General features: G+C 48.4%; 1 long non-coding RNA gene across 1 annotated transcript in view, besides 1 other annotated feature; it reads right to left on the bottom strand.

The window, feature by feature from the left end:
* Positions 1-26,277, bottom strand: part of LOC105376223 (uncharacterized) — a 38,343-nt gene that overhangs the window by 5,407 nt on the left and 6,659 nt on the right. The window lies entirely within an intron of this gene.
* Positions 22,592-22,671: a silencer, noted in NCBI's record as "silent region_20207". NCBI's record gives its function as "represses an Ori minimal core promoter by ATAC-STARR-seq in GM12878 lymphoblastoid cells {active_cell/tissue: GM12878}" and the evidence as "EXISTENCE:reporter gene assay evidence [ECO:0000049][PMID:35858748]".

Below are 26,277 nucleotides of genomic sequence, written 5' to 3'. Positions count from 1 at the left end.
TCTTCCCTAAGTGTAAAGGCCTCTTGGTGGAAACCTTGGGCAAGAGGAAACATGTTTCTATTCCAAGCAGCAGAGAAGTAAATTATGATCAAAGAGAGTTAAGATCAAAGCAGTGCCACCCACCTCTCCCTCAGATTAACCTTGCTTTACATCAATTCAATGAACATGGCTGGGTCACATTTTAAGAAAATAGGCTGCTTCCTGGTCACTAATAGTCAATTGCCTCTCTTGGCATGCCCAAGATGAATTATAATGGTTTAAGGTCAAACACAAAATACGAACAATTGCATCAAAACATCAGATTAAATAAAAATAAAAATAAGCAAACATCAGAATAAGTTAGCATCTGGGTGAACTCTTGGTAATGGTGGCCACCCCTCAGCCTTTCCTCTTTTCCTTCAAAAATAACTATATGCTCAGAAGCCTTTCAGGGGTCACCCAAATAGAAAAGCAGTCCCTCGAGATTGGTTGCAAACTCCAGTTTATCCATTTCTCTTTCAATATCACAATGGAAAATCACCAAGGCCACATGGAGGTCTGTAATGATTTTCTGTACACTCGTGTAAACAAAAGAACATACAATTTCCCTTCTTTCCCCAGTGGAGTGTTTTATTTTTTATTTTTCCAGTTTAGGGGAAATGTTAAGATGATTTGGGGGTTGCTGAAATGTCTAAAAATCAAAGATACAATAGTAAAGAAAGAAGCCAGTTGAAGGGGCTGTGTTTGTGGTGAAGTCAGTTGTTTTATTTCATTATAAGGTTTCTATGTTTTCAGGAAGCAAGAACAAAAGGGAAAGGAGAAGTGGAAAATTCCAGAAAATGATGGATGTGAGGCTGTCATAGAGATCGAGAGCACCCATTTCAGGCTGATAGGGCAGTCCATATGCCCAAATGATCGACTTATAGACTATTTTCTTTTTCTTTCTTTTTTTTTTTTTTCTTTGGAGACGGAGTCTCGTTCTGTTGCCCAGGCTGGAGTGCAGTGGCACGATCTTGGCTCACTGCAAGCTCCACCTCCCTGGTTCACGCCATTCTTTCCTGCCTCAGCCTCCCGAGTAGCTGGGACTACAGGCACCACCACCACGCCTGGCTAATTTTTTTTTTTTTTTTTTTTGTATTTTTAGTAGAATCGGGGTTTCACTGTGTTAGCCAGGATGGTCTCAATCTCCTGACCTTGTGATCCACCCACCTCGGCCTCCCAAAGTGCTAGGATTACAGGCGTGATCCACTGCGCCCGGCCAGACTATTTTAAAGAATAGCAGTTGCTCACAACTTGACTGTCCTGTGCTGTGGGGCAGGCCATGAGTGGCAGTAGAAAGAACGCGGCTCTCAACACAGACCAAGGAGGTCTCAGTCTGACCCTGGCCAGGGTCCTTTGCCAGGTGAGTGGCTCTGGGTAAGTGGCTTCACCTCCCTGAGCCTCGGTTTTCTTATCAGCAAAATGTGATGTTTGAAAAGCACCTAGAATAGAACCTGTGGCTTTACTGCGAACACCATCCCTCATCATTTGACTGCTGTCAACATTCTGTCACAAACGGTATTTTATTTGATAGCCCCCCAAACCTTCTGAGGTTCTTGGAACTGGAATCTTTGTTCTTACTTGACTGATCAAGAGCTTCTAGTCCCCTAAAGACAATTCACTCCTTAGTGAAGAACTTGGGTATTGGGGGAGGGGACAGTGAGACCTGGATTTCAAGTCCTAGCTCCACCAAGTGATGTCACCAACTGATGACATCGTGTAGGTGATTTCACCTCCTTTATCCTCCAGTCTCCTGCTCTGTGCTTTAACACCTCTCCCGCTGGCCTGGCCACTGCATGAGCAACACACCTGGAGATTGCAAGCTCTTTGCAGATTCCAGACACCAAACATAGTCCCCATACTGTGAACTGAGGAATGAACTGAGGGACATGAGAGCACTCAAGGATGTCCACAGAGGAAAAGAACCCCCTTCATACGTCTAATCAAGAAAGCAGACAACTTCCCCAAGCACCAAGATGTCAGCTGGACTTTTGTAAACTAGCTTTTTCCCTCACAGTCTCACTTTGCTTCCCATGTTCCAGTTTGCCTCCTTTCCCAAGGTATGGGCCCGGCTGTTCATGTCAGCAGGGATGGGCATGGGGAGAGGTCACAGAACATGGTTTATGTGGTCAAAGGTGTGGTGTCTCAGCAGGATGCCAGCCCAGGTGGCCCATGGCCAGCATGGGAGCTTTCAGGTGTTATCTCAGGCATCAAGGTTCATTATAGCCTCCCATATCTTAAAGGCAGGGAAAGAATGAAGAAAGGAAGGGAAGGGGAAGGGGAAGGGAAACGGAGGAAGGAAGGAAGAGAGGAAGGAAGGAAGGAAGGAGAGAGAGAGAAAGAAAGAAAGAAAAAAGAAAGGAAGGAAGGGAGGGAAAGGAAGGAGAGACAGAAAGGAAGGAGAGAAAGAGAAAGGAAGGAAGGGAGAGAAAGAAAGAAAGAAAAAGAAAAAGAAAGGAAGGAAGGAAAAGTAAGAAAAGAGAAAGAAAGAGAAAGAAGAAAGAAAGAAAGAAAAGGAGGGAGGGAGGAAGAGAGGGAAGGAAGGAAAGAGAAAGAAAGAAGGGAAGGAAGAGAGAGAAGGAAGGAAGGAAGGAGAGAGAGAGACAGAAAGAGAGAGAAAGAAAGAAAAAGAAAGAGGAAGGAAGGAAGGGAGGGAGGAAGGAAGGGAGGGAAAGAAAGAAGAAGGAGGAGAAGGAAAGAAGAAAAAGAAGGAGGAGGAGGAGAGGAAGGAAGGAAGGAAAAAGAAGGGAGGGAGGGTGGGAATCAAAGGGAAAGGATGTGCAAGAGCCCGGTGCCATGAGTCAGGAGACATTGGCTCCAGTGCCAGTTCTGCCCAACGACGTTGACTATGGTCTTAATTTCCCCATCTGTACAAGAGGTTGGATGATGTTAGTGTTTCTCAAAATCTATTTCATAAAACAACAATTCTATAAGTGCCCCCTCACAACAAGAGTTTCTGGGGTTCAATAACTCTAGGAAACACAGCCTGCCTTACCCCCTTTTGGTGATGCCCATTTGTATATTAAAGGCCCTGAGAAGTCCTGCAGAAGAGAAAACTCTTCAATCTTCTTACTAGACTGTAAAACCCAAGCAAGGATTTTTGTCTATTTTATTCCCTTGCGTGCTCACAGCCCTTAGAACACTGGTATGTAATAAATAATCAATATCTGTTGGATGAATGAATAAGTGAACTTTCTTCAACCCAGCGTTCCCCAAACTTCTATCACAGAACCTTTTTCTATTTCTCAGAGCAGCCCTAGGCATCCCTGAAATGCAGCCCTCCGAGGAACTCGCTGACTGGAACTCTCCACTCTGTCCGACCTTCTGTACCAGGTGCCTGTCTGTGGCGCTTCAAGCCCATGCAGCAGGTCTGGGGTCTGGACACGCTCACAGGGCACACAGCTGTGCTGCAGTGGAAATGGTGTCAGCTCCTCTCTCGGGGCATTCACGGTTTTTGACACCCACGCTTAAGTGCTTTTGTGGTTCTGAAGACGGAAGGGTAGGTGCCTCAAACAAGGGGCACCCGGGCCCTCCAGGAGGGCTCTCCAGCCCTTCCCCAGGATGCAGGATTTCAGCCACAACCCAGCTCACATCAGAGCACATGGGACATTGTGAAACACCAACCAGCTCCCACATGCCAGCTTTCACTCCTCCCTCTCTCCCAAGGCTACTCTTCAAAAGCACCACTCCCAGCTGTCCATCTACGTGGCCCCTGCAGGGGCTGAGGGCCGTGGGCTTTGTGTGCCCAGCATTCTCCTCTCTCACTTGTTCTGGTCCCTTTGGGCAACTCCAGCTGTCTATCCGGCCTTGGCAGAGTGTCTGTCATGATCCCCACCTCCACCTGCCCCCCCAGGAGCCAGAGGGGACAGCGGATGATCCAGGCTGGACATTACGGCACCCATTGCCCTTGACTCCACAGATGTTTTTAGGGAAAAGACGCCTGACCAGGCAAAAGCAGTCAGAGGTTTCCCTGCAATCAATGGTGGGAAATAGGGAAAAAGAAATCCTCTTTCCTCTGGATTTGTGGCGCCAGGAGAAGGTAGGTCGGGGCTGCTGGTGACTCACTCAGCTGACACTTTACAGCACAGAGCTGAGCAGAGCCAAGCGATGGAGGGAGATGCCCAGATGACCCTGTTTGAGCCCCTGCTGTCAGCTAGTTCCACCCATCTCCCAGGTCGGTGACTGTAGCAGGCTGGCGACCGGCTGCCCCAGCTTCATTTCTGATCCCCTTTCCTCTGGCTTCTCTTATAGAGGCAGAAACTGCTCACAGCTCAGTTTTCCAAGCCCTGATGAAGCTAAGGGTGCCCTTGTGAACCAGCACAGCCAAACTGTGTCACTTGGCCACCACACTCCACTTTCACACCTATCCACACCACCCAGTGCGTGGTGCCTTTGTGGCTCCTCCCAGAGAGAGGTAGAGTCTATTTCTCCACCTTTTTTTTTTTTTTTTTTGAGACAGAGTCTCACTCTGTTGCCTGGGCTGGAGTGCAGTGGCACGATCTTGGCTCACTGCAACTTCTTCTTCCCAGGTTCAAGTGATTCTCCTGCCTCAGCCTCCCAAGTAGCTGGGATTACAGATACGTGCCACCACGCGCAGCTAATTTTTGTACTTTTAGTAGAGACGAGGTTTCACCTTGTTGGCCAGGCTGGTCTCAAACTCCTGACCTCAAATGATCTGCCTGCCTCGGCCTCCCAGAGGGCTAGGATTACAGGCATGAGCCACCATGCCCAGCCTATTTCTCCACCTTTAATCTCAGCTGACCTCACGACTTTGGGGCAATAGAAGGTGGGAGGAGTGACACTGTGCCAGGCCTGAGCCTAGGTCTCAAGAGCTTTTGGATATGTCTGCTCCCTCTGTTGAACCCCAGCCCAGTCACCATGTGAGCAATCCCAGGCTAGCCTGCTGGTGGAAGGGAGACATCCCAGCAGCTGACAACTCGCCAACACCAGCCACGTGAGAGGGCCATCCTAGATCGGACGGTCCCAGTGGAAGACCAGTCTTTCACAGACACATGACCGAGCCCAGCTGAGATCAGCCAAGCCAGCCTCAAATCAGCAAAACTTCCGAGCCAACCCATAGACTCATCAGCGACAATGTGTGGTGGTTTTTAGCTGTTAGGTTTGGGGATGATTAGTCACGCAGAAACAGATCACTGATATAGAAACGTCATCAGAACTGGCTGTGGACCTCCTTCCATTTTTCTATTTTTGTTCTTTTCCTTCCTATGAGTAAGGGCTAGGAATTTGCAGCTGCCTCACAACCTCAACAGACCAGGCTGGGGACAATGGGGCAGAAAGAGAGGAGGGGTTGCTGAGCGTTCTCTCCTGCCCCGGACTGCCTGCCTCTGAACTTTTTTTTTTTTTTGAGACAGAGTCTTACTTTGTAGCCCAGGCTGGAGTGTGGTGGCACAATCTAGGCTCACTGCAGCCTCCGCTCCTGGGTTCAAACAATTCTCCAGCCTCAGCCTCCTGAGTAGCTGGGATTACAAGAACGGGACACCACACCTGGCTAATGTTTGTATTTTTAGTAGAGATGGGGTTTCACCATGTTCATCAGGCTGGTCTCAAACTCCTGACCTCAAGTGATCCACCCACCCCGGCCGCCCAAAGTGCTGGGATTATAGGTGTGAGCCACCACGCCTGGCTCTACCTCTGAACATTATGTGAGACAAAGAAAACCTTTATTTATGCCAACCGTAGTCAGAGTTTTTGTTCGTAGCCAAACACATTTCTGATACAATCAATAAATTACCTTGCTTGCTTAAGCTAGTTTTGAGTTGGATTTATGATCTTAACCAAAACAGCCCCTTTGTGTATTCCTGTTCATCAGTTCCTTTTGTTGGGGGGTAGCTCTATAACATGTAGTTTTCACAAAACACAAGGTTTAAGAAAATGTCATTTTTCATGGCTCTTCTGATTGCTCTTTAGCCCACAGACAGAGGGACCACATTGGTTTGGGGTCGCACAGAGAAAACTCAGAAGCAATGCTATGGTGTTTGCAGTATGAGGGCTACACATGTTGGAATATTCCCAGGTGAGAAAAGTAACAGGTATTCTCGTAGAGGCCTCCAAGGGGTCGGAAGACTACTCCAGGGATCCTATTTCTCAGGTCTTTGGTGGTGCCTCGTGCTGAGGAAGCAGTGCCTGGCCATGACCCAGAGAGTGAGTAATTGAGATACTCACCAGAAAAATCTCGCTTTGCGAATAGCCCACTATGTCTTCTGAAAGTCCAGGTGACTGACAGTTTTGTTTTGTTTTGTTTTGTTTTGTTTTATTTTATTATCTTATCTTTGAGACAGAGTTTTCACTCTTGTTGCCCAGGCTGGAGTGCAATGGTGCAATCTTGGCTCATTGCAACCTCTGCCTCCCAGGTTCAAGCAATTCTCCAGCCTCAGCCTCCCAAGTAGCTGGGATTACAGGCCCCCACCACTATGCCCAGCTAATTTTTTTTGTATTTTTAGTAGAGATGGGTTTCACCATGTTGGCCAGGCTCATTTCGAACTCCTGGCCTCAGGTGATCGACTCACCTTGGCCCCACAAAGTGCTGGGATTACAGCTGTGAGCCACCACACCCGGCCTGATAGTTTTATTTTAATTGTCTCCTGCATAGCTCATCTCTGAGAAACTTTCTCTGTCTGGTTCAGAGTAGGAAGGAGCACAGAAAATGTCTGTCCAGTGAGGGAAGGAACAGAGAGTTTAGTTAAAAAGGACGACATTTCTCTCTCTCTCCGCTGTTTTGTGACACACACACTCTCTCTCCACTCTCATTTTCTCCCTCTCTCTTGGGAGCACTGAGAAGCAGATGAGCTCCTGCTCCTGCCCCTGTTGCTAGGTGATCCCCCCAGTGCTCCTGGGAGCTAAAAAATGACTCATTCACGAAGCAAAGATTGCAAGCTAAACATAGGAGGATACATCAGAACAGGGCACAGACTCTGCCTTAGGGAAGCCCGCAGCCTGCGGGAGCACAGGTGTGCAGACAGATGATTACAAGGCAGCGCTGAGTCCCTCAGAGAAGAACACACAAGCATGAGTCCAGATGAGTAGCCCCAAGCCCAGCCCACGGCAGGGTGGGAGCAAGGATGCTCTCCCAGAATACGCAATGCCCATTGAATCTCTGAGGTTAAGTAAGACTTCATGAGAAAGAAGCGCTGGTAAGAGAAAGAAATACCATATGCAAAGATGCACGTCCAGAAAGCAGCTCAGTGATTCTGGGGGCTCCACATGACCCAGAACAGCGGGGAAGAGGGTTGAGGACAGGAGCAGCCTCTCAGGGGCTGACTGCGGGGCTGAGTGCTGCTGGCTAACATAAGTCCCCTCACAGCCTTTAAAGGGGACCATCTTCTGTCTATAGCAAATTCCCCCAGGGAAGGACTCTGATGGACCCACTTTGGTTCACAGGCCCATCCCTGAGGCAGGGGAAGAAGCAGTGGTTTTCAAAACTTGGCTACATTTTACTTATTTATTTATTTATTTTGAGATGGAGTCTCACTCTGTTGCCCAGGCTGGAGTGCAGTGGCATGATCTCAGCTCACTGTAACCTCTGCCTCCCAGGTTCGAGCAAGTCTCGTGCTTCAGCCTCCCAAGTAGCTGAGACTACAGGCACCTGCCACCATGCTCGGCAAATTTTTGTATTTTAGTACAGACCATGCCTGCTCAAAACTCCTGACCTGGCTGGGTGAGGTGGCTCACACCTGTAATCCCAGCACCTTGGGAGGCTGAGATAGGCAGATCACGAGGTCAGGAGATCGAGACCATCCTGGCTAACACGGTGAAACCCCGTCTCTACTAAAAATACAAAAAAATTAGCCGGGGGTGGTGGCGGGCACCTGTAGTCCCAGCTACTCAGGAGGGTGAGGCAGGAGAATCACTTGAACCTGGGAGGTGGAGGTTGCAGTGAGCCGAGATCACGCCACTGCACTCTAGCCTGGGTGAAAGAGCAAGACTCCGTCTCAAAAAAAAAAAAAAAAAAAAAAGAAAGAAAGAAAAGAAAAAAAGTTAAGGGCTGCTGTGATCAGGGGAAGGAGGGCTAGGCAAACAGAAACCAGCAACAACAGACCCACTTCGCCAGAAGCTCAAGCTGGCATGGGCCAGTTGAGGCCACTGCAGGCATGGAGCCAAGGAGACCGATAGGATGGCAAGGGGTCTGGCCTAGGCTTCCAGTTCGTTGCTCCAGATTGAGATCCTACCAGGAGGGTCTTTGCAAAGCTCAGAACTTAGATCACTCAGGAAGGGGCCTGGCCATCTCTTCCTGCCCGAGCGGGTGGCTGGGGTGGCTGGGATGCTGCATAGAGCCCTGGTGCAGGAGGTAGCCACTGTGAGCCCAAACCCAGCTCTACCCTCATGCAGCCCTGTGCTACTCCTCTCCTGGGGACCTCAGTCTTCCTGCCCATAAATAAAGCTCTTCCAGCAGCAATAGCCTCTGACCTTTACTAGGTCTAGCCTGGCCCAGCCCCATCCATCCACCCACGTCAGATCTGTAACAAGTCCTGGAAAGGAGTTTGAGCACATCTCACTCCTGCTCTCCTGGGGAGTGGCCCAGACGAAATCTCAGATGAGGGAAAAGGGACGATTTGGAAAGACAAGAGAGTGAAGTAACCAAACGAATGCTTTGAGCAAAAATTCAAAATTCTGTGTAATTGGAAGGCAATATTTATACCAACCGTGGACACAACAGCAGTGATAGGTCAAGGAACACAGGCTTTCTTAATACTGGGTGAAAAAGGACAAAATTTATAAACTGGCAGGCCTGAAATTTTGGCCACAAGGGCCTGGCAGAGCAGCTGTCACCAACCTGAGACTGCAGCGTTACCATGAAGGCTGAGTCCTTACTGTGCCGGGCACTGGTGTTCCGGGGTCCCGGGGTCTCTTGGCCTGGGCTTTTACGATCTTGCTGGGCTGAGAGAACAGATCCTCTTGCTGATGGCACCTGTGGTCAGGATGGGGGCCAGCCATCGGCAGATGGCCAAGCTGACATTATTTGTTATTTAAGTTAATCGTCAAGTGTCTTGTTTTAATTCACCTGAAGGACCTCAACTTGCAAATTGTAATTAGCCAGAGAGAGAGAAAGGGCACAAGTACAGTCTTCCATCTATCTAACAAGACCTAACAAGGTCATCGGCGTGTGGGATCAAGAGACGCAAATGGCTGCTTCAAGGGAACTCACGGAGAAAACAATTGCCTGGAGATGAGTTTGTGCATCTGAAAGTGTGCCCGTTGTGGGAGAGGATCTCCATGCCCAGCCTGTCCGCCCTGTGAACGCTCATCACGCCTTCCTGCCTGGGCCTTCAGCTTTATTTTTGTGTGTTATTAAGTCTTGGGTTCAGAGGGAGATCCAGAACTCAGTGGCCCAAACTGGTGACCAGTATGGGATCTCTCTCTGTGGGCGCTGAGCGTGTTGGCTTTGTAGATTCACTCTGGGAAGCCCTGGACCGAACGCTCTCACCCATGGGGACCTAGTGCATCCAAGGATGGCCTTTTTGTTCCTTTGAGAGGCACTATGCCTTCCAAGAAATCCATTTGTCCCCCCAGGATGACACAGGATACGACCCCTTCCCCAGGAATCAAACCACTCGTTCCCTCAGGATTGGGTCATTTATTGATGCCCCTGTTCAGCAACTACAGTCATGTGCCATAGGACGTTTCAGTCGATGACAGACCGCATATAAGTTGGTGGTCCCATCAGATGATAATACTGCATTTTTACCGTCCATTTTCTATGTTTAGACACACAAATACTTACCATTGTGTTACAGTCACCTACAGTCTTCAGTACAGTGCCGCAAGTGCAGGTTAGTAGCCTAGGACCCACAGGCTAGACCATGTAGCCTAGGTGTGTGGCAGCCTCTACCATCTAGGTTTGTGTGAGTACACTTTTATGACATTTGCACAAAATCACCTAATGACGCATTTCTCAGAACGCATCCCCATTTGTTAAGCGACACATGACTATACTTAAGAGCATGGACAACAAGCCAGGGTCTGGGCCAGGTGTGGGGATTCAGCAAGAAGCAAGACTGGCTTGGTCCTTCCTTCAGGACACTGACAGTTCAGGGGACAAGTAATTACAACTGCAGTGAATGTTGTGAGTGGTAAGCACATCAGTGGGGCAAGAGCGTGGACCAGAGCGAGTGATCAGGGGGCCCAGACCCCCTAAGGAAAAGTGACTTGTAAGCCACACCCCCAAGATAAGGAGGAGGGGATGGAAGAGCCTCCTGGGCTCAGCTAGCGGTGCGTGCAGCGTTACCCTGAAGGCCTAGTCCTTACCGTGTTGGGCACTGAGACTGGCATGTTAGAGGAAATGCTTTTGCAGCTGAACCGTGGACTCAACAGAGGAGAGGAAGTAGAAGAAATAGACAAAGCCAGTTTTGGTAGCCCTTGTAGGCATGAGCCCTTTGGCTTCATTCTGAGGATAACAGAAGACCATGAAAGTATTTTGGAGGAATTGCCTTTTCCTTTTGGTTCCAGAGAGATCCTTTTGGTTCCATGATAGTGATGGATTGTAGGGAGCGGATGCAGGGCAACTCCAGCATTGAGATTGGCTCCTTTTGGATACTCAATTGCTATTTCAGATTATTCAGCTACTTTTGAGTAGAATAAAAGAACTGGGCCACAAAACATCAATTGTGAAAAGTGGAGAAGCATGACACAAATTAAGGAATTATTGGGTGAAATCTGGCTTGAGGGAAATAGATTAATCAGGAGGGCACCTAGTGTAACAACCAACCTCAAAATTTTCAAAGGCAAAACACCATAAAAGTTTAGTTTTGCTCATACAACCATCCCCCAAGGGTGTTTCTGGTTATAAAGCTCTCCTGGATGGCTCTCCTCCAGGGGGTGACTCGGGATCCAAGCTCCTTCTAGCTTGCGGTGCTGTGGGATTTTCTGCATCTGGCCAGCAGATGATGTAAGAATGTGGAGATTCGCATGAGGAGGTTTTCACAAATCAGGCCTGGAAGCAGAGTATGTCACCTCCATCCACATTCTATTGACCAGAACCTGAAGACAGGCCTGCACCTCACTGCAAGGAGGCTGGGTAATGCAGGCTACATGTAAGCCCAAGAGGAAAAGGGAAGTGGTTTGGGGGAAACTAGCCTATCTCTGTCACAGAGGAGCTGCCACTGGGAAACTCAGACCCGGAGAGGAAAAGTTGTTTGCTGATGGTTACCCTTCAGGTTGGTGACAGCAAGGAGACCAGAATCTTACAATTCTTGATTCTCAAATCCATCATTTTCCCCTTTTCTGTAGTGGGCATGCTTATCAATATGTGGTGAGGTCATGCTGCTCTGAAGTGTCAGGAAATAGAAAATCAGTCCAGCAAGCTTTTATGAGGGCCTGCTATTGCAATTGGTAGAAAGACAACAAATAGGCCGGAGGCGGTGGCTCACGCCTGTAATCCCGACACTTTGGGAGGCTGAGGCAGGGGGATCACAAGGTCAGGAGATCGAGACCATCCTGGCCAACATGGTGAAACCCCATCTCTAATGAAAATACAAAAATCAGCCAGGCATGATGGTGCGCACCTGTAGTCCCAGCGACTCAGGAGGCTGAGGCAGGAGAATCACTTGAACGCAGGAGGTGGAGGCTGCAGTAAGCTGAGATTGCGCCACTGCAGTCCAGCCTGGGCAACAGAGCAAGACTCTGAGAAAGAAAGAAAGAAAGAAAGAGAGAGAGAGAGAGAGAGAAGGAAGGAAGGAAGGAAGGAAGGAAGGAAGGAAGGAAGGAAGGAAGGAAGGAAGGAAGGAAGGAAGGAAGGAAAGAGAAAGAGAGAGAGAGAGAGAGAGGGAGAGAGGGAGGGAGGGAGGGAGGAAAGAAAGAGAGAAAAGAAAGAAAGAAGGAAGGAAGGAAGGAAGGAGAAAGAGAGAGAGAAAGCAAGAAAGAGACAAATATATGATTTTCTGCCTTCAAGTAGCTCACTGTTTCCCAGGCAAAGGGGACCATGTGCCAGGGGCATTCAGAGTAGAAAAGAAATGGTATCCGGCCCCTTAGGAGACAGCGGTGAGCTGAGCCTCAAAGGGCAGGCAGGGCTTTTGTGTTTGTTTCAATTTTGTTGTGTTTCTGGGGTTTTTTGTTAGTGTTGTTGTTTTGGTTTTTGTGCTTTTTCTAGTTTTCATGGAGGTGCCATTTGGGCTATAGGGCCCTGGCAGTTAAGGACATTAAATATTTATTCACAACCCAGCGTGACCTCTCCTGGATGTCTATCTCAGAGACATCTCCTCTCACACCCTGCGTCTCGCATCTTATGGTACAAAAAGAAGCCCTGCCGCCCCTTGAGGCTACTCCAGCAGTGTAGTTTGGAGGATCAGGGACTTTGAGACCACCAGGGTGTCCATTGCTGAAGAAATGCATGAGAAAAATGTGGTGAATTCTCACCATGGAAAAACATTGTGCATGGTTATAAGCAACTATTACAGACCATTGAATATACTTCGGTGCTAAGAGAGGAAAGAAAAAAAAAAACCAGACTGAGAGCTACGGCACGGAATTAGTCATGTTAATTAAAAGCAGATATACACAGAATAGCACAACATGTTTTATAAGGATTCATGCATATTTAAGAACATATATCAAATACATGAGGGAAAATGCCCATGGGGGAAACAGAATGGTGGTGGGAATCAGGGATAAATGAGAAAAAGGTTAAAAAAAAAAAAACCCAAACCCACAAAAAAGGTTGTGTGCAGTTCAACAGTGAGAATGTGCCAGGGGCTGGGAGATGAGTACCTTTGCTCTCTGTAGCTGAGTCTGATAAAAACAGAAAGATGGTCGGTGGCGGTGGCTCACGCCTGTAATCCCAACACTTTGGGAGGCCGAGGCAGCCGGATCACCTGAGGTCAGGAGTTCGAGACCAGCCTGACCAACACAGAGAAACCCCGTCTCTACTAAAAATACAAAATTAGCCAGGCATGGTGGGGCATGCCTGTAATCTCAGCTACTCAGGAGGCTGAGGCAGGAGAATTTCCTGAACCTGGGGGGCAGAGGTTGTGGTGAACCGAGATCGTGCCATTGCACTGCACTCCAGCATGGGCAACAAGAGTGAAACTCTGTCAAAAAAAAAAAAAAAAGTCCTGGTGCAGTGGCTCACACCTGTAATCCCAGCACTTTGGGAGGCCGAGGCGGGCGGATCACGAGGTCAGGAGATCAAGACCATCCTGGCTAACACAGTGAAACCCCATCTGTACTAAAAATACAAAAAAATGAGTCGGGCTTGGTGGCGGGCGCCTGTAGTCCCAGCTACTCGGGAGGCTGAAGCAGGAGAATGGCATGAACCTGGGAGGCAGAGCTTGCAGTGAGCCGAGATCGAGCCACTGCACTCCAGCCTGGGTGACAGAGCAAGACTCCGTCTCAAAAAAAAAAAAAAATCTAAACAGGGAAAGGGCAACCCAAGGTAGCAGGGTACCACACATAAGCCAAGACCTGGAATCTTCTTCCCCCAACTCTTCACTTAACCAGCTCCTTCTTATCTTCAGTCCTTGATCTGAACGTCCCCTCCCGAGAGAAGCTGGACCTGCTTGCCTTATATAAAATGCCCTCATCATTCCCTATCGTAGTCCTGTACTCTCTTGCGTATGCAACACACACTTTGTAATTTAAAATGCAGCTGCTTATTTATGGTCTGTTTTCCTCACCAATCAGCAAACTCTCTAAGGGCAGAAAGTCATTTTGTCTTACTGCCCAGCACACCAGCAGGGCCACACCTAGAATTAGTTTCAGCTCTAGGTCAAGCACATCACATGTATTGGCTTATTAAGCTCCCATCCCAGCTCTATGAGATGGGTCCTATTATTCTCTCTATTTTATAGAATGGAAACTTGGACACAGAGAGGTTTAGCAAATTGCCTAACACCACACAGCTGGAAAGTAGATGAGCTTGGATTTGACCCCAGACAGTCTGGCCCTGGAGTTCATGTTCATATCCGCTTGCTATACCACCTCTCCATACCACATTCACAGGGTGTACAGTGACTGAGTGAAAGAATGAATAAATGCAGGGGAGAACGGGGAGGTGGCCTGGATGATTACACCAGCATTAACAAACACGTTTGGGTGCAGCTTCCATTTCTAAGTTGTTATGCTCTAAAGAGTTATTTTTCCTCTAAGATGATAATCTTAATAAATTATAGAAAATTCTTTAGCTATTGCTTTTTATGTTATGGCCTGGGGTGGAGCACAGGAGAGTGATGAATGACTTTTTAAATTTCTTCACATTGGGTTAAAGAACTCTCCAAGACAAGACCTCATGTAGAATCTATAATTAATTATTATTCACACTTAATACAGTTAGATAATGTGAACACATACTTTCCATTAATTTATGTGGCCGATTCCTCATCATTTTCCCATAGGTATAGTTCACTGATTTCTCGAGTTATTAAAAATTAAAATTCATATTAGGGAGTTAGAGGAGCCTGGTGTCCCTATGCCTATTTTTAGTCTAAAGTCACAAGCTGGGTGGGAGCTTAACGCAACTGCTTCCTTTGGACAATTCTTTTGTTGTTGTTGTTGAGATGGGATCTTACTGTGTTGCTCAGGCAGGTCTCAAAGTCCTGGCCTCGAGCAATCCTCCTGCCTTGGCTTCCCAAAGCCCTGGGATTACAGGTGCCAACACCGTGCCTGGCCTATTTTATTTATTTATTTATTTATTTATTGACAATTCTAAATTAAAGGGAGTGGGTGCATTTACTCTTTTATTTGTTAATTCCTTAAAGGTTGACCAGTGACAGTTGATTGGTGACAATCCTGGGCCCACATGCTTGGGGGTCTACAGGGAAGACCAACAGGTGTCTGTTCCCAGTGAGCCCACTGCCTGCTGGGGAAGGCGGACAACGACCAGCTGCTGAGTGCTACCCAGGAGGCTGGGGACGAAGGGTACCTGGCCTAGACTGGGGAACGGGCAGGAGAAGGCGATGTCCGAGCTGACGCTTGGAGGGAGAGTGGGAGTTAGACAGATGGAGAAGGAAGGGAAAGGCATTCCAGGAGCAGAAACAGCATGTGCAAAGCATAGGAGGTAAGAAAGGCATGGAAGCTTCCAGAAGGCCAAATACTTCATGGGGGGAAGCACAAACATGGGGCAGTGGGAGTGAATGCTGGAGAGGGGCAGGGGGCATCATAAGAAAGTGCTGAAGAAAAAGAGAGAGGATGGTACTTTCCAGAAACCTCCATACAGGGATCTAAACACTTAGGGTGATCACAGATCCTTGAAGCTCATAGAGACCAACTCACTCATTATAAAGGTGAGGAAACTGAGGCCCACCTGCTTTAAAAACAAAAACAAAAAACCTTCATATCCAATGAATTCATCCCTGCCAAGGTCTCTGGGGCTAATACTCTCCATATGGCAGGGGCATTTACATTCCAGTTCCTGGGCACTACTCAGAAGGGACTTTCAAGAGGCGTGACATTGCAGACAGGAGCCCAACACTTCCCACTCAGGAAGCTCTGCAGGTGGAATTTTTCAGATCAGAGAATTGCAGGTGCCCTCCTGGTTACAACACAACCAGAGCCACTCCTGATTTGCATATTCTGCATAACTTTGCATAAAGCATTGACAAGCCTCAGAGCCTGTAAAAATAAAACTAATTAGAGTAGTGTCTTGCCCTAGTATCCAGACTTTGCATCTAAGAGGAGGGGAAGGGTCATCTTTGTCCTCTCTACTGCCCACTTGAGTACAGCTATTGGGGCTGGTCAGGGAGAGAAAGAGCCAAGGACAGTACTGACTTGGAGTCAGGCTGGGCTCTAATCTCAGCATTTCTGCTTCCTATGTGTGCAACCTTGAGAAAACCATGTCACTCACTGAAATTCAGTAAGGGGCCACCAACCCTATATATACAAAGGAGTGAGTAGAGTCATATGCTCTAGTATGTCCAGCATGCCTGCCACAATGTCCAACACATATTCAACACTCAGCAAATATTTAGATATGTGAGTCTGATCCAGGTGCAGCGAAATTTCCCACCTAATAATCAATGCCGGAAAATTTTGATCTCATTTCTGAACGAATTTCTTGCCTATACCTCCCAGAAAGGAAATGACCCATATCCCTAAAACAGAAGGGAAATCCCAGGTCCTGAGAAAATCACCGTTGACTGCGGAGTTCGTGAAATCAGAACATAAAATCCAACCTAGTGGGAAAACTGAAGCCCGGAACAGGAAAGTAAAAATCAAGGGCTGGAACCCAGGTTTCTCACCTTCCTGCTGGAGTTCCCACAGCTGCCCCCTGTAGACCTGGATTGAGGCCATTTTTTTTTTCCTGTTTTGGTAGTCCTTGGGATTCCAACCCTGCACGGATAAATCTGGCTAGAGATTCCAAAGATCAATGCTGCTTTCGATACTCTCTCCCTGCGGCAAGCTCACGACATATTTTTTCGCAAGTAATAATTAGCGACAGAAATATCTGACCTACTTACAACTCCACAAATACACACACTTGGCTGCCTGCACATCAGTTCCAAGGCCGTCAGAAGGAGCCTGTTTGGGAATAGCTTTTTTTAACCCGGTTGGATGCCACTTCTGTGGTGGGCAGTTTGGGATGCTAATTTCTGCCCACCTTACCTTTCAAGACTGGCACTGCCCCCTCTGTGCCCTGCCTCCTCCCCATCGAGGTGGCTTTTCAGGCCCTGAAGCTGGTGATTATTTTTACATTCAGTTCCCACAAGCAGAGGGGACACTGAGTCGTGGTTGGAAAGATAGATTATGCATAGATCTTTTCAGATTTCTCAAAGCAACTTAGGCAACATTGTGGTTTTTTTGTTTTTTTAATGCTAAACGAAAAAGGACAGTCTGGTGAATGTCCAGTTGTATAGTGTTAGTTCTGCCCTTGCATTTTGTAAACCCAGCCCTTCAAGGTTCAGTCAGAGTTTCCTACTCATCTCCCCTGTGTACTTTTACCTGGTGCCGGGATAACACCCCTCCCTTTCCCTTACCCTCAAATGCTTTCCTAGAATCTAAAATGTTCTTAGCAAAATTAAACTATGCAGGATCTGTGGTCCTGGGACAAGGCAGGGACAGGCCAGCGCTGGAAGACCTCGGTCATATGGCCAGAACATTCTGGAGCTGCCCTGTGGGAGGCCATGCTCCCTTCCAACTGCCTCTCCCAGAACCCCAGCACCACCAACTGTTGGGATTCAGCCTTCAAGTGACACTCGCTGTACTGCTACCTGCTAGTGAGGCATGGTGCAGGCTGGTGACGGTAGCGAGGGCACCTTTGTTGAGTTCCATAAGCGTTTATGGGGTACCTGCTATTGAGCCTGGAGACACGGTGAAGAAGACCTGTCCTTTCCAGTGCAGTTTATGGCTTTGGGCTGGCTTAAGCTGCCAGCGAAATAAACCCAAGCTACCAGGGTTTTAAACATCCCTGAAACTAAATAAGATTCAGGAAATGTGTAGTGAATGACCAGAGGGAGAATGTGGCACAGGATGGGAGACAGGAGGGGACTTCCTCCAGTCAGCAGACATCAGAGAAGGGTTCATGGGAGACACGCACCTGCACCTTATCTTATTAGTGTTTTCCAGGTGGGGATGGGGTCAGAGGGAAAGGCCACTGCAGCCCAAGGGAGCAGCTTGTGCAAAGGCAAAAAGGTCAGTGGAGAACGTGGAGCATTTGGGAAGCTGCATAAATGTCAAAGGCAGCATGGAAACTGAGGTTGGAGCGGGAGGTATGATGAGATTGGAAGGAACTCTGGAGAACATGGAAGGGATTCAGACTCTAACACGAGGGCAAAAGGGAGTCAGTCAATTGCTTTAAGAAAGGAGTCACATGATTCAGTTTGGACTTTATAGGTTCCTAATGCCAAGCACCATCTGGATAAGAAAAAAAATAGGAAGATTCTTCACAACTCTCCCACTCCCCATTCCCCAACCCAGGGCCCATGCCAGCCAGGACACTGGCATCAGGGCCATGCCAGCCAGGACACTGTCCTTCTCTAACCTTCAAAAGGTGCACAAAAATTAAAGAATGAGCCCGGGTGCAGTGGCTCATGCCTGTAATCCCAGCACTTTGGGAGGCCGAGGCGGGTGGGTCACCTGAGGTCAAGAGTTCGAGACTATCCTGGCCAACATGGCAAAACCCCATCTCTACTGAAAATACACAAATTAGCCGGGCGTGGTGGTGCACGCCTGTAGTCCCAGCTACTTAGGAGGCTGAGGCAGAAGAATGGCTTGAACCTGGGAGGCGGAGGTTGCAGTGAGCCAAGATCGTGCCACTGCACTCCAGCCTGGGCAACGGAGCAAGACACTGTCTTTAAAAAAAAAAAAGTTGAAGAATGAGAACATTGGCATTGGCAACAATGCAGCACTTTTGGGAGGTCAAGTCCTGGGGGGGCAGGAGAAGGAGGCAGGAGAAGGTTGCTGTGGCAGTGCCCCCGGGGGACAGTTCTGCCATCCTACATCAATCAACGTACATGGCAAACTGCACACCTCTCTGTGTGGGTGTGGGGTTGCCTGTCTGCTTTGCACTTTTTAGAAAACTAAACAGATCTTGTTTACTTCAATTTTATGTTCACTAATGTTTTAGAAAAAATATATGCTGGCGTTATGTGACTAATGAAGACCTGTAAGCATTTCAGTGGCATTCTCTAGTTGTTACGATGTTGTGCACTTTCCCCCATTTGAGATGAGAAGTTAGTTTGTCTCCCTTCTTTTCTTCTTGAACTTTGTTGATATCATCTGAGGTTTTGGGATCCAGGTTATAATTGTTACATTATTGGCCTTTTGTCATATAACTGCCCTTATAATTATACATTTGGACTTTTTGTATTCTGTTATGGCCAGATTTATAATAATTTAAAATTCTGTCTGTTTTAACTAAAATTAGTGTTGTTGCTAGTTCTTTTGTTGTTGTTGTTTTGTTTTTGTTTTTGTTTTTTTTGATATGGAGTTTTGCTCTTGTTGCCCAGGCTGGAGTGCAATGGTGGGATCTCAGCTCACTGAAACTTGCGCCCACGGGTTCAAGCGATTCTCCTGCCTCAGCCTCCTGAGTAGCAGGGATTACAGGCATGTGTCACCAAGCCAGGCTAATTTTTTTGTATTTTTAATAGAGATGGGGTTGCTCCATGTTGGTCAGGCTGGTCTCAAACTCCCAACCTCAGGTGATCCGCCTTCCTCGGCCTCCCAAAGTGCTGGGATTACAGGCATGAGCTACCGCGCCCATCCGCCAGTTCTTTTTATATCATGATTTCTTCATGCCTGTGCTCTTAATTTTGTTTCATCCCTCAATAGTTTGGAGTACTTCTTCCAGTAATTTTTTAAAAAAGAGGTACAGAGGTAGTATATTTTCTGAGCTGTTGCATATCTGAGAATAAATTTATCTTGCTTTCTTACTTAAATGACAAGTTGGCTAGGTCTAGAATTCTTGCTTTACAACATTTTCAAACTTCTTAGACGCTTTGCCGTGGTCTGATAATGGCTGTGGAGTGAAGTAGTTTGGAAAAGCACAGATGAAAGTCCTAGGCTGCCTATGGCCAAATAACAGCTCCGCCATCTGCTGTGTGACATTGGGCGGATTACTTAACTTCTCTGTGTCTCAGCTTGATCTGTTAGCAGAGATGATGATAACTGCACCTATCTCATAGGGTTATGTGGAGGATACAATGAGCGAATGTGTGCACAGCACTTAGTTTATGCCTGGACGTAGTAAGCCCGATATGCATGTTTGCCCCTATCAGTTGGCCATTTAGGATTGCTCTCCATCCCTTCCTCCCCACATCCTTTGTATATAGCTGCCTTTTCTGCCTGGATAATTTTTAGGACTTTTCCTTTTGCTTTCTAATTTGAAAATTTTGCCACCACATTGCCTGGAACGTAGGGAGTCCTTCTGATCTGCACACACAGTTCCTTTTTCAGCTCAGAAGAGTTTCTTGGTATTGCCTCTTTGACTACAATGTTTGTTTCTCTTGTTCTGAACTCTCATTAATGAACACCATTTTTCATTCACTGGTCATCTCTTCTTTCTTCCCTATTTCTTCAAAACGATCCTATTATCAATCATCATTTTAATGTATTTTTTTTCCTCTGTACTCTTCCTCCAAATCACCAATTCAATGATCTGAGGCATCAGTTAGGTCTGCTGTGACTACCACCAGGGTGGTCATTGTGCTTTTCTGGTTTCCTTGCAACCTGTCCTTGTCTCTCCCACCTACCTCCTTTTCCATCTCATCTTGTTGCTTTTTGCAGGCTTTCTGCCTTCTTGTGCTCTACTGAGGATGGCTGAAATGACCTGTGGTGGGTCATTTTGGAGGTTTGCTCACCCACCGTTTCCCTTGTGCTACAATTGTTTCATCCATAGCATCGATGTTGGTTTTTTCCTTCCTAACTCATCTGCACATGAGGCCAGATGATGGATCAGCTCTCTCTTCACTGACTGGTGAGCTTCTTCAGCCCTTCAGTGGGAGGGGAAGTTGACGTTTGCAAATAGCGGTCAAATTTCCAATTGCTAGCAAATTTCCATGTAGTAAAACTCTGCTCTTCTGTTACTTCCTCCTACCTCCATCGTCTGCGTCTCTGTATTTTGAGTGAGGTTGCCATGCACGTTGGACCAAGGTTGGGCAGAAGTTCCTTGTGAAAGCACTTCGGGCTTCTGTCTCAGTTACCCCATGTCGGTTACCTCCAAGACCCTGGCAAATGCAGGCATGACATCTAAAGAGGCTGCCCCTCCTCCCCACTCAGCCTCCTCCTTATGGTAGGAGACCCCAGAGCTTCAGTGACATCCATTTAAATTGGTAAAAACAAATAGTCACATAACATAAGCAGATAAACACCATCTTTCCTTTAATCCCCTGCAGGGCCAGCGGTTTGCTAATTCTGTTTCTCTTAGGCATAGGGTACAATGTGCCTATCCCTGCTGGCACATGTGTTCAGGGTATGGCTGCCTCCACCTCCCAGTTCTTCCCTTGGCACCAGCCTGGGGAAAGCCATAACACCAAGGGGCTCAGAACTGATGCCCTGGTCACGTGCCCCTTCAAGGTGACTCAGATCAGTGTGATGCCATCTTTCTAAACCCATCCCTACGGAAGAGTTCCTCTATTTATGGTACTGGAGTCACCTGTGACAAGGATTCTTGGCTTGGCCAAACTTTAGTCAGACTCCTGAACCTTCTCTTAGGCCCATCTGTGCACTTCCTTATGAAGTCCAGTTTTAGAAAAAGAACCCTGCTAAGTCAGTGTAACCAGAAACCCCCGTCCTTGACATCTGATCATCCTCCATATCTGATCAGGTTCCTCATCCACCACCATCCCCCAGCAGATGTCTGATCTCCCTGGCCTGCCTTCAATGACAATCCCCAGAATCCTGTTAAATAGGTTTAGCCAGAATCCCCCTCACCCTGAAGGTTTCCTCTTGGTAATTTTCCATCCACTGACCCCACCCTGCCCCTCAGCTGTAAGTCCCACCTGCCCATGCTGTCTTAGAGTTGAGTCCAATCTGTCTCCCTGTTGCAATGGTCCCTATACCTACATCAAGAGTCCTAACTAAAGTCTTTGTTACCATGCTTTTAACAAGTATCATTGAAGAGTTTCTCCTTTAACCCCTGCATGAGAACCACCTGAATCCTGAAGCCCATCCTGAAATGTGCTGAGTCACAACCTCTGGTGGGTCTGCCCAGAAGCCCTCTCTTATTTTAATGCCATATCAAGTTTGAGAACTACCCCCTAATAGGGTCTTGAAGCTCTATTTTTGGCACAGCCCACGTCTCTTGATGGAAAAAGATTTTGCTCCTAGTCTGAAGCATAGTTCTCACATTGGTCCGTTCTCCAGGCACGTAGAGGGCTGGCATTAGACTCTCCGTGTTTATTTAAGGGGGATGATTTGGGGGGAGCAGAGAGGGAAGCAGTAACCTTGGGAGCAAAGCATGGGTCATGGCCCAGGCTTTTTTTCTGCCTCTACATCCTCAGGAGACTTTTCCCTGGTAAGATTGTGCAGATACTGTGGCTTGTGTACGGCTCACAGCTTAGGCACAAACAATGGAGTTCATTAATTCTCATTTCCAGGCGCACCTTCACCACCAATCCAGGCAGGCCCCCTCCACACTTTGTTTTATTGAATTCTCTCAGTGCCCCACCCTGCCCCCACCACTTCCTACCAGCATTAGCTGTAGGAGGATGACCAACGGGAGAGATTGCTCAGGCCTGAGGGGTTTCCTGGGACATGGGACTTTCAGAGCTCAAACTGAGGAAGTCCAGTGAGGAAATCCTCTCTCACTCTCTCACCCCCTCCTTCTTTCCCTTCCTCTCTCCTTTCCTCCCTCCCTTCCTCCCTCCCACATTCATGGAGCATCCGTCTGTACTGGAGATGAGCACAGTCAGGGCTCTGCCCTCAAGGAGCTCGCTGGGCAGTGGGGCACTGGGGAGTGGGGCGCTCCAGGCACAGGAGTCAGCCCTGAGAAGTCCTGGAGGTATTGGGTGCAGCAGAGTGGGACAGAGAGGATTAACGGAGCAGTGGAGAGGTCAGGCCTGCATCCTACTCCAGGCCCCACTCATTACCCACAGCACCTAGCAAAGCCATCCACTTGTCCTAGGGTGGGGCACAAGGCTCAGGGATGACTACACGTTTCCCAGGAGCCCTGTGGATTGGGCCCGGTAGCTTAGCTGGGACAAGAACCAGGGAAAGGCTTCAGCCACTGACTGGTGCCATTTGGGAAGTGGCCACAAGGTGGTAGCAGAGGATCGGTGGCGTCACCTAGCTACAACCCCAGAGCTCTGGTGATCTGGCTGTGGCCGTAGATAGCTGAGCCAGTCTCTGTGCCAGATCCTGGGACAACGTGGTCACCACTCTGATGAATGGAGAAGGTGAGAGTCAAGGTGTCAGAAATGCATGTACGTGCATGTATGTGGGCACATGTGTAAGTATACGTATGTCCATGCATGTCGTGGTGTACGCATATGATGCCTATATATGTATTGTGTGTGTGTGTGTGTGTGTGTGTGCAATGTGTACATGTGCATGTATACATATGTGGGCATGGTATACACATGTATATTTGCTCACATGGGTGTGCTCACATGTGCACACCTATATACAGATATGCATGCCTTGTGTGCACACGTGTGTTGTGCTCATGCGTGTGAGCATTTGTGTATGTGTTGTGCATATGTATGTGTGCATGGCTTTGTATGTGTATGGGCATATGTGTGTGCATATGATTCATGCCCATGTGTAGATATGTGTGTGTGTGTCTGTGTGCACAACATGTGCATGCGTATGTGTCTGCATTGTTGGCTCCCCCATCCCGAGCCTTCCAACGGTCTGTCTCAGGGATGACAGATGACTGAGCTTCCGAGGAAGCCAAGATGACGGACATAAAGCTGCAGCTGAAGATTGTTCAGGACTCGGCCAAGCAGCTGCCCACAGCCAAAAACTATGCGTGGAAGGCCTGCCAAGCGCTAAGCCACCTGTGCGCTAAGCCAAGCACAGGGAAATGTACAGCGTGTGGAAGGTGTTGTAACCACCAGCAATACAGTATTGCTGGTGGTCAGGGAAGACCTCTGTATGAAGTGACCTTTCAGCAGAGACAGGAAGGAAGTGAGGGCTCAAGGCAGGCGGATGTGGACGGGGAGGGTCTAGGCACTCCTGGGGCAGTGCTGTGTTTGGGGCAATCAAGCAGCAGCAAGGGGTGGGTGAATGAGGGGGGAGCTGGAGAAATTAAAGTTGGGGGTGGGGGCACGTGATTCTGAAGCCCACCTGGGTCCTGGCCACCTTTGGTTTCATCTCCGCCCCCTGGCTGCCCCTCCCCTCTCACCTGGATGCCTGCAACAGCTCCCCAGCCTGGGGAAGAAGCCCGGAAGCTTCGGGTCCTGATGCAGCCTCATTTTTCCTCCTTCCAAGCCTTGGCGCCACCCTCTCCCCCGCCCCTGCCGTTCCCTTGGCTTCTTCTGCTCCCACTGAATTGTACGTCTGAATCCCACTCAACCTTCCAGGCCCACCTCACCCCTCACCTCCTCCAAGAAGCCTTTCCTGCCTTCTTGGAGGGGAAGCCTCCCACCTCACAGCCCAGTGTGGGTTGGTTCTGTCCCCACGGCTAGCCCATCAGGATTCCTGAGGATAGGGGCCCTCCACAGCACCCTCTCCTCCCCATCCTTTCCAACTCATGGGACAGGAGGCTATACAGTCATCTTGGAAGATCTGAGGGCAGGAGACTGTCCAGGATGGTCTACTTGGCTGGGCTGGGAGGAGAGTAGCACACTGGGTTTGTGGCCACCATCCCCAAGGCCCTGGATGTCAAAACTTCTAAATTTTGTCTTACAGTGTTAAAGGGCAGGCTCTGGAACCACATTGCCTGGATTGAGTCCTAGCTCCACCACTGAGCAGCTGAGTGACCTTGGGCAAGCTACCTAGCCTCTCTGTGCTTTATTTCCCCATGTGCAAAACAAGGATAATAGTAGGGCTGTTGTAGCATATATGTAAAAAGCGCTGAGTTCAGCAGCACATGGCAGAGCAAGGGCTTATAGAGTTATTAGCTACAATTGTTACTACCAGGTTCAAATCTAGCTGCATCTCTGTGATCTTGTACAAGTCAGTTAACATCTGGACCACCAAAGCCCAGCCACTGTCCCCTGGCATCTTGAGTGTGCTTGTGCACACACACACACAATGGATTTTGTTTTGTTTTGTTTGAGACGGCGTCTTGCTCTGTCGCCCAGGCTGGAGTGCAGTGGTGCGATCTTGGCTCACTGCAACCTCCACTTCCCAGGTTCAAGCAATTCTCCTGCCTCAACCTCCCGAGTAGCTAGGACTACAGGTGTGCGCCACCACACCTGGCTGATTTTTGTATTTTTAGTAGAGATGGGGTTTCACCACGTTGGCCAGGCTTGTCTCGAACTTCTAACCTCAAGTGATCTGCCCGCCTCAGCCTCCCAAAGTGCTGGGATTACAGGCATGAGCCACCGCGCCCGGCCCACACAAAACGTTTGTTCACTTGTTTACTATCTGCCTTCCCTATTGCAGACCTGAACGTAAGCTCCATGAGGCAGCGCGTTGCCGTTCATCAGCGAAGCACCAGCTCCCAACAAAGTGTCTGGCAAATAATAGGTGCTCAGTCATTATTCCACAAACAAATGAACAAATGTGGACCTTCTTCATTTGTCAAACAGGGGATGATCATTCCTCTCTCACAAGGCTACTGTTGGAAATGAACGAGATCACAGCACATGGAAGCCACACTCAGTTTTCCTCCACGAGTGGGAGAAGCATCTGGGGACGGCTATCTTGGAAGTGGACGCCAGGAGGCAGCAAAGGGCCAAGTCACTCAGGACACACTTAATCCTTGCCAAGGATTTCCAACCCGCCAGCAAGCAGGAAGAGGGAGCAGAAAAGAGACGAGGGGGGCCCTCTTGCAGCTCCTGCCAAGTGCCAGGGAGCTGTAGGCTCTCGTGGAGCAGATTGATGCACCTCACTCGTTCCTTCAGCAAGCCTTAATTGAGTCACAGAGAGGTAAACAGACAGATTCTCACTCTTGTGGAGCTCTGAGCCTAGCAAGGAGACAGTCTCTCGACACAATTAAAGGAAGCTGTCTGCGCTGAAGGCAGCAGGTCTTCAAGTTTCCTTGAGCACAGTGACCCTGTATTTTAGGCTGAGATGTGATAGCTGAGCAAGAGTTAACCAGGTGAAGAGGAAGGGAGGTGGTGAGAGCTTCAGACAGAGGGAACAGCCTGTGCAAAGGCCCCAAGGCAGGAAAAGGCAAGTTCATTTCATCTTTGGCCCAGAGACAAAAAGTGACTCTCCAAGATCACACATTGAGAAGCAGAGCCCAGCTTTCTGGCTCTCCCTCCAGGCTCCGTCCCGCATCCCTAGTTTCCCTTCCAACAAGCTTCAGCTCTGCTGTAGCAGCAGCTGGGCCGGAGGCAGAGGAATTTTGGCCCGGACACAGCCTGACCCAACTTCCCCAGAATATGAGCTCATAAGAGATTTTAATTTTGATGTCTAGACTAAGACAATGACCAAATGTCCTAGGGCGAATGAGGCTGATAAGAGCCTATATTTGGGGAAACGAGGCAGCCCTCTCTGTTATCATGTTTCAGAGTGGCCCTTGGCCAGGGCAAGGGGGCTGCGGAGGCCGGCGGAGCTAAGCATGGAGGTTTCTAACGCAGTGAGGGCATTGGCTGGGACTCAGAGATGCTTGGAAAGTTGCAGTTAAGACTGACCCTCATCTAGATGAGCATTCCAAGGAGCCTTAGCATGGGACAGGGCAACCCTGTTTTATCAGTGGGAATAGATAAGGTTATACTGGAAACAAAACAACTGCTAAATCCAAGAGGCTTCAAACCATAAAGATAT

The sequence above is a fragment of the Homo sapiens genome, chromosome 9 (genome assembly GCF_000001405.40).
Source record: "Homo sapiens chromosome 9, GRCh38.p14 Primary Assembly".
In the NCBI taxonomy this organism is placed as follows: Eukaryota; Metazoa; Chordata; class Mammalia; order Primates; family Hominidae; genus Homo; species Homo sapiens.
This window is presented reverse-complemented; position numbering and strand designations above follow the sequence as displayed.